Genomic DNA, 9,694 nt, shown 5'->3' with positions numbered 1-9,694 from the left:
AACAATAAGGCTTTTGAAAGAAAACAAGGTTAAAATTACCATAACTTTAGGTAGATGAAAATTTCTGAAAGAAGATGCTAATGTACAAACCAAAGTAAATAAATGAAGGATTCATATACAACAAAGGATTCATATACAAAATGTATAGAGTTCCCACAAATTCATTAGAGATGAAAAACAGCTCAAAAACAAAATGGGCAAAAGACTTGCAGGGGCACTTATCTGCAGAGGATATCCAAATAAGCAACAAGCATAACATGAAAAAGTGCCCAATATCATTCACTATCAAGGAAAATCAAACTAAAATGGGATGAGATACCTCTGCACCTAGAGCTCTCCAGAAATACAAAGTTGTAAGGGCAAAGATCCTGAGACCAAAGTGAGCCTGACATACTTAAGAAGCAGAAGCAAATGTGGCAGACCTTCATGAGTGAGGGAGAGCATTGAAAGTGATGAGGGCAGAGAGGAGGGTAGGGCCATTAGGGCGGTGGAACTTAATTTTTTTTTAACTATTAATAGTAGTAAAAAAAAACCTTTTAGATTGCAACTCTGAGTGACAGCTTCCTATACAATACTTAGTATTAATAAATGGACACTCTAATATTTTTTATTCTCTTCAATTCCATTCCACTCCATTCTAAAATGCAATGTCAGTTGTAATTCAGTAAATTAATTTTATCCAGAGTCTGAACGAAAGAATGTGATCTTATCATGAAAATGGCTTTAAATTTTATTTCATTCTAACCAGAAACCATAGGAAACTTGAATTGAATCAATAATGAGTGATATGAAACCACCATAGTGATTTAAGCAAAGTTCATACACTGTTGGGGAGCTTGATTAGGGTAATTCCAAAATAATTAGGCAGGTTATGGATGGGCATGCTGTCTGAATCTACTTGTGTTGTTTTGAAGAAATACCTGGTGGGGTGCAGTGGCTCATGCCTGTAATCCCAGCAATTTGGGAGGTCGAGGCAGGTGGATCACAAGGTCAGGAGTTCAAGACCAGCCTGGCCAAGATGGTGAAACCCCATCTCTACTAAAAATACAAAAAAATTAGCCAGGCATGGTGGTGGGCACCTGTAATCTCAGTTACTTGGAAGGCCCAGGCAGAGAATTGCTTGAACCCAGGAGGTGGAGATTGCAGTGAGCCAAGATTGCTCCAGCCTGAGCAATACAAGGAGACTCCGTCTCAAAAAAAAAAAAAAAAAAAAAAAAGAAAAAAAGAAATACCTGAGGCTGGTACTTTATAAAGAAAAGCGGTTTATTTTGCTTATGGTTCTGCAGGCTATACAAGAAGCATGATGCCAACATCTGCTTCTGGTGAGGCCTCAGGAAGCTTCCACTTATGATGCAATGCAAAGGGAAACAGGCGTCACATGGCAAGAGAGGAAGAAAGAGAGAAGGGAGGTGCCATGATCTTTTTAACAGTAAGTTCTTATGGGAACTAATAGAGCGCAAACTCATTCATTACCGTGAGGATGGCAGCAAGTCATCAGTGAGGGATCCACCCCCATGACCCAAACACCTCCCACCAGGCCCCACCTCCAACAGTGGGGTTCAAATTTCAACATGTAACCTGGAGGAGACAAATATCCCAACTATATCAAATGGGATCTCCTTCTTAAGAATAAGGCCACTCATAGTTTGTCTAATGTATATTGTTTGGAATGACTGCAAGCAAATCATGTGTCCAGATAAATTAATGTCATCTTTCTCAGTTATCCTAAAATTTGCTATCTTTAATTCAAAGTCATTGTTTAAAATGTGCTATCACGTTAATCATTGTGAACTGTATTATATTTTAAGCTACATTATTCTATTTTGTATTGAACATAATATACTGGACCAGTCAGCTGTGACTGGGTTATAAGATGGCACCAATCACCATTTATCAACATGAACAAGAATCAGGTTCCCCAGTTAAGCATCCTTATTCTCTTCCACTCTCCATTGCTGTTCCACCCCAAAAAGATACATGTTTTATCAAAGAGCATGATCCTGTCTGAGAGAAGAGAAAGGGATTTTTAGTTAAGAGCACAAACTCTCCAAATAAACTCCCATCATCCATTTGCGGGAGTCATTATTGGAATATACTGTGTGCTAATAAAAGAAGACATTTTGCTGCTCTAAAATCAGTGGTAAACAAGTTGGTACATTATGGCATGATTTGGGTATATGATGTGGAGGGAAAACTGCTGAAATGAGAACTATCCCCAAAATAAATGCTTAATAAGCCTGTCCTCTCCAGCTCCTTCTGATCTTGGCTGAATCATGGCTCAAATAGAAAGTGAATGGATGAAAGAGGGCTAGGTAGATGAGGCTGACATGTGGGATGAGGATTTAGAGCCAGGCAAGAGGGGACCTAAACCCTAGAGACCCAACTCTGGGCCTTGTCCTGCTGGGTCCCTCCTTATGGGGTGGGCCATACAAGTAAGTATACCCACTCAGAGTCCGTTCACTTTCTTCATGATATGGATTCCATGTGAAAACTGGTTGCCAAATTTTCAGGAATTTACTGAGATGTCAATGTTACATTTACAGTTTGAAATTTGCCACAGTGGGAAGATTTACAGTATGCAAAGTAGCCAATGCTACAATCAGAGCTCCATACTCAAGAGCTGATTGTGAAATGTTTACCAGTACACCACTATTTATAAGCCTTACCCTAACCTAAACTTATATTTTGTTTTATGTTTTTGGATCAAATTATGGTGGAAATTACAACAAATTAATGCCTCATTATTTTAAAATAATGTCTATTTTGAACTTTCTTCTGTGGTACTGATTCAGCATTTTACAGAGCAGTGCATCAGTTCCTTGAGGCATAATTGTCTATGGGGTTCCTTTTTTTAAAAAAAAAAATCTTTTTATTTTGAAATAATTATGGACCAACAGGGAGTCACAAAAATAGTACATAGAGTCCCATGTGCCCTTAAACCACCTTCTCCCAAATGGTGACGTCTTATATAACTGCAGTATAATATCAAAATGATGAAACTGACATTAATAAAATACTGTTAACTAGGCTCTAGATCTTACGCATTTTCACTCCTCTTTACATGTACTCATTTACCCGAATGTGAACATGTGTGTGTGCGTGTGCATTTGTGTGTGTGTGTGATTTGATCCATGGGTTACTTTTTAAATGCAATCTCTAGACAGCCCCAGGGAAGCAGAACATTGCTTAATTAGCTGATGCCTTTAGAACCTTGCACTTAGCTGACCTGATAATTTTAGGCTAAAAAAATTTAAAAAATAAAGAAGAAATCCAGTCTTTGTCTAAGTTACCTCAATTTTCTGGGTAGATAGTCCCCAAAGTACCAGGTAACTATGTCATCTGCTGAAATCTGACTTTTTAAGGGTGACCTGAAATATCCCTGAGTGGCAGAAGTGCATTTACGCCTTTGAGGGGAATACAGACTTTCCTGTTGGTGATTGCATATGAACAACCAAATAGTGGATATATATGAGATATTAAAATAACAATGAATTATTTTTATTATAAGAACACTTAAGTATTGAGTTAAATGTTGATGGGAAAAGTATTGAAAAATCTTTTTTGTTAATATTTGATTTTTAATATGACATAAAGTATAAGTCAATTTATCACTATCTGAAGCCTAACAGAAAAGTTCAATATTGTTAGTAGGTTGCTGTCTAAGGAATTTAATGACTACCATTTTGCATCAAGTTGGTGTATTCCAAAAATATGATTACTGAAACATAACGCTTTATATGGGATGTGTTATGTTTGATTACAATACATTCTGTTCCCAATTATCTGTTGGTACATAAGCTACAGCATATCTTATTTTCAATGTCTTTACATTGCTACTAAATCTGCTTTATTTCTGTCTTTTCCAGGCATGAAGGTCACGATCATTTGAGGAAAGATCAAAGGAAGAACCTTTTAAACTAACTTACCGAGCTTTATATTGACCTCTTCTAATCAGGTAAGGAGGCGGTTAACATGAAATCTAGGGGAGAAGTAAGGCTTGTCTTAGGCTAGTACTTTGGCTTAACCATACCCTGCTGTCTGTCCTATTATAGAGGAAGCTGAGCAGTGAGCTGGGAAATAAAATGGGAAATTGCTTCAGTTTTACAAGTTCTCCTTAACTGGACATTTTTAGCACATATTCATTCTTTAGTTGTAATATAATATATATACAAAATTTAATTGCTCCCAGAAATCCCTAGTCTTAATTAAATTTAAAACTTAAATGTAAGTTCATGTGTATATTAATAAGTTTAATATAAATTGTTTTGATAATATACTCTTTTTGGTTACTCATGCTAATACTTTTTCCATTAAAACATATAACTTTGACTTGATTGAAGTGATAAACATCTCCTGAATACTTATTGACTGATTTTAATCTTCCATTATTCAAGTTATTTTATTATTTTATATCCTCCCAGTATAGTTTCTGAAGTCCAGAACTTGATGATAATTGGGATCATATTATTCATCTGCTTTTCTTTCATTTTTATAACATATGAGAAATTTATTTTTTACATTCCTTAATGTGCTTCCAAAATTATACAAATGAATTTCCAATTTATGGAAATTAAGTACATCCAGATTTTTATATGTTTGTGGCCACTGATATTAACATTTTAAAATGTGAAAATTTAATGAAGCAAAGCATTGGTCCTTCAAGAACAGTTTTATATTTATATTGCTCATATATGCACTGCTCATAGTTGATCACTTTCAAAGTATAAATTATATTTCACATGAAAAAAATTACTGCTTAGGAAGGAGTGGAAACCAATCAAAGTACAGTTACAAAAAGCAGTACAGCAATAAATTAAAATGTCAAACTTTTAAGTTGTTTTGTTAAAAGCCTTAACATCACCCATGATTTTTGGAATTGACAGTGTCACTTTAGCACCCACTTTTAAAGATCGTTTTGAAGCACGGGTTATTTGTCAGGTGTGATTTATTTAAGACAATAAACTTAGATTATTGAGTTGAACAAATAACTGTTTGGATGCCTGCCAAGCATTTAGAGCGAATGACTGAATGTAATGAGACTGGATCACTCAGAGGGATGAATAATCAAAAGCCGTAGGATGAAATTAACATTGTTCCAAAGATACATCTCTTCCTTCTCTCCTTGGTGAATATTAAGAAATAGGAGAGTGAAAAGCATCATGGGAAGTACAGTCTTTGTATTCCAAAATAACAGCAGTAAATATACCTTATATTTGCATAATGCATTCCAGCTCACCTGTGTGTTATCTCATATTTCATTAGAACCACGCTTCAAAGTAGTTATAATTGCAATATTGTGGATGAGGAAATGAAGAAGCCAGCAGGTTAAGTGATTTGCTTGGGTAATATAGATAGTGGAGGGCAGAGCTAGAATCTGAATCTAGCTCCATTTTCAGAGGAGGCAATAAGGGTTAGAGGTAAAGCAAAGGTGTGGAATTGGTTCTATTCTGTTTGGATCCTTGTTCTGCCACTTACTAGTTTCCCTTGTATCAACTGCTTAACGTTTCTGACCTTCAGTTCTCTCACTGTAAAGCCTGAATAACAGCATTTACTTTTCCTAGACCACAGGGTTACATGAGATAATCTAGGAAGATAGAATTTGGAGTGCTCAAGATCACTGGTCTTGGAAACTTTCTAATTTCAAGTTCCAGCTCCAGTACCTTAGTAGATAGGAGCCTGGGAAAATCCTGTAACCTTTTAGTATCTTATTTTGAGTATCTGCAAAACAATACCTATTTTATAGTGTTACCGGGACAATCAGATGAGCTGATATGTGGGGAATAGTGACCACAGTAGTTGGCCTGTGGTAAGACTTTCATTATTCTTAATGTAAGAATCGCTTGGGAGTTAAGAACACCCCTTGCCTCCAGAACTAGGAAGTATGACTTTGGTTCTCCAATTCCATGGCCTGTGAAGTTCAAGGTCTCCACTCTGCCATCTAAGATTCTAATTTCTGAGGTTCCATCTGCCTCCTCTGCCTCCCTCTGCCTCCTTCCATTCCTTTTGCATTTGAAGTTGCTGTTCTGGGCCAGAGACCCAGGGTGGTACTCCAAGTTTCTCAAAACATCCAGTCACACAGATTTTACCAGTAATTCTGGGGGTTAAGGAAAAGTATCACATGCACATCACAGAGCTTGTTCCCTGCTTCTTCTCCCCCTTGTCTTGTCCATGATCTGTCCTTCCTAGGTCATCCCTCAGATGTCAAATTCTTCTCCCTTTTTACACAGAGCAGTTGTGCTCACCCCCAATTTAGCCCTCAGTCCCGCTTCCCCAAACCCACCAAGGTGTCCAGGAGAAGAATGAAACTTCCACCCACCTGCTTTTGTGGTGGGCCCTGAAAAGTAAACTGACCTAGTTCTCATGACCAGCATGACAAGACCAACAAAAACGCTTTTCTTATATACAAAATAGAAATTTTTGGACAAATAAAGGATAAAACTTCTACTTTGGCAGAGGCTGAGATGGAGAAAGTGAACGAGTTCACCAAACGGCAGATACGGAAGTAAGAAGATGATCGGGAAAGCTCTATCGGGTCTGTGCAGATTGACAGTGGCCTCTGATATTTTCGGCATAGGTGCAAGCATAGGAAGGACTATATTCGCAGTGTTCAGCCTGTGCAGTCACACTTAGAAGAAGGGCCCATGCTTGGTTTAATGTTCTGCTGTCACGTTCTTGGAATTTTAAATAATTTTGAACAAGGGGCCCCTTATTTTCATCTTGCACTACCCCCTGCAAATTACATAGCCAGCCTTGAGGTTTACTATGCTAGGGCTTTATTTTTGTTGAGTACTGCTCCTGACAGAATATTAAAACAAAAATACTGCTAAATTCTTAGAAATTGGTTTCATGTGATACAAGTGGATTCCAGGAAGAAGCTATGTTTATCAACTGAAATTTAGCCTTTCCTTGTTATTAAGACAAAATCTCTTAGTAAGTACCATTTCTTTTAACTAGCTTTTTTTGCCAGGAACTTTATTTCTTCTTTTTCAACTGCCTCATTGGTTCTACAAGACAGTAAACTTGTAGACATTACAATTTGGGCTTCCAGTAAGAAGCCAAAAGGGTGATTGTTTGCTGTGAGTGGTGCAGGAAAGTAGAATTTAAGACATAATGACCTATAGGAGAGTACAAGATAGGCACTACGGGTTGTAGTCAGCAGATGGGCAGCTGGGGTTGATTGTTTCTGAAGCTGGTGAAAGCAACTTCTGAGAAGGATCAGCTAGAGTAAACATTTTCCTGCTAATAGAAGACTTCTTTTATCATCCAGATTTTCACTTAGCATTTCGTCCATAATTATTTAGACATCATTGGATCCTATTTAAGTCTTTAGAAATCTTATGCATTACAATTCAGGAAAAGGAGACTCACTCCCATGTTGTCTCATAAACAGACTTTAGAAGTTCTAAAATAACCAAAGGAATGGGCACTAAAAGGGATGGTAGAATTTCTAAACTGAGCATCTATGTGGAGAAGTTCTCTAGCCCCAAGATGCTAGTTCCAAACTTGACTTCTTATAACCCTGAGTCGTGTTTTTTAGATTATGGCTTTCATGCTAGGAAGAAAGAAAATTCTCTAGAGAAAACAGCTTTTTGTCACGAATAAAATAATTTGTACAATAATAAACTTGCTAAATATTTACCTAATCAGGAGAGATGATAGGAAATAGTAATTTTTAAACCTGCCAGTTTTATTATTAGTTTATTATGCCAGTTTTAAATAGTGGAAATCCTTTCTTTAAATGTATGCTTTTATGGCAGCCCAGCATAATAAACAAACGAAAGTTGAAGTGTTATTTTGGAAACTGAGATGGGGTTCCTGGAGTCTTGATCTTCTCACTTTACCTACTCTCATACTCCCACCCCCTCCACCCCACCCCACACTTGACTCAGCACAGTCTCTAAAGTATATCTGAAAACTCTGGAGGACCCGAGGCCTTTGAAGACCCCCTGATAGGAAACTACTGCTATAAATACACATTCTTAGTTTATTATTCACGCTAACAAATAGTCCATGGAAAGAAAATGGAATAAACTGGTTTTGTTTGTTTATATTTAAATTCCAGAGCACAAAAGAAACCTGGACCATGGAAAAGTATGTGCATCGTATAATGCAAGGGCAAGGGAGAGGTAATGTGTATTCGTCCATTTTCATACTGCTATGAAGAAATACCCAAGACTGGGTAATTTATAAAGAAAAAGAGGTTTAATGGACTCACATGGCTGGGAGGCCTTACAATCACGGCAGAAGGTGAAGGAGGAGGAAAGGCATATCTTACATGGTGGCAGGAGAGAGCATGCGCAGGGGAACTGCCCTTTATAAAACCATCAGATCTCATGAGATTTACTCACTATCACAATAACAGTATGGGAAAAACCTGCCCCCATGATTCAATTACCTCCCACCAGGTCCCTCCCATGACACATGGAGATTATGGGAGCTACAATTCAAGATGGGATTTGGATGGGGACACAGACAAACCATATTATAGCGGATTGTGTAATACAGAGTCTCCAAGTGAGTAGTGCCCCGCTTCCCTGTCCAGCTCCAAAGAATTTGAGAAATAATGAATAAATTTGAGGATCCATCGTTATTACCAGCCATGACCAGGCTAGCTTGATAAATAAACCAGAACCTGCAGTCTGTGCGCCCAGTTGCAAGTCTCCCTGGTGGAGGGGCTGGCCCAGGTGACACTCTTGGTATGGAGGAGGGCAAAACTGGGCTGTCTGCCAGAAGCTAAAGGACCAAGTAGGAGAAAGAGCAGCACTAAGTTATAATACCCAAGTATTATTTCCAAATTTACTCATCAGTGTAGCCACCCTCAACATCCCCAGAGGGTAGAATAAGGAAAGGTGCAGAGGGAAGCCAGGAGTTCTAAGTGACCTCTCTTTACATGAAAGAAACAGAGAAGATGTAGAAGAAATATTTCCCCTCAGTACAAGATTTAAAAGGAGTATTTGGGAAATAACAGATATTAATCGGTGCTCATCCTCTACTCCTGCCAGAAGGATACATTTGTGTATCATGTGATATAATTTGAATGTCCCCTCCATATCTCATGTTGAGATGTAATCCCCAATGCTGAAGGTGGGGCCTGGTGTGAGGTGTTCGGGTCATGGGGCATATCCCCCATAGCTTGGTGCTGTCTTTGTGATAGTGAGTGAGTTCTTGTGATATCTGGTTGTTTAAAAGTGTGTGGCACCTCACCCTCACTCTCTCTTTTGCTCCTGTTCCTGTCGTGTGACTTGCCTGCTCCTGCCACAAGTATAAGCTCCCTGAGGCCTCCCCAGAAACCAAGCAGATGCCAGCACCTTGCCTGTAAAGCCTGTAGAACCGTGAGCCAAATAAACCTCTTTTCTTCATAAAATACCCAGCCTTAGGTAATTCTTTATAGCAATGCAAGAATAACTTAATTCACTATGGAAATATCTTGTGATCTTTGCAAAAATGAATCCAATAATTCGAATAGAATTCCTTATGTTATGATATACTTTGGTTTTGCATGAATTAATTATACATTTCTGAAATTGTTTAGTTTAATTACCCACCTTTTAGGAAAAGTAGATTGTACAGCATGAGGACTTTCCTTCTCTTAAGAGATCTGGAACTAACAGATTCCCACACTGCCAAAACTCCTGCCCTCACAAGCACCCATATTTGAGAAGGAAGTTAATGTGCTAGTTCTGAACACTATTAA

The sequence above is a fragment of the Homo sapiens genome, chromosome 9, assembly GCF_000001405.40.
Source record: "Homo sapiens chromosome 9, GRCh38.p14 Primary Assembly".
Taxonomy (NCBI): Eukaryota; Metazoa; Chordata; class Mammalia; order Primates; family Hominidae; genus Homo; species Homo sapiens.
The sequence above is the reverse complement of the archived record's forward strand: the minus strand, read 5'-3'. Positions refer to the sequence as shown.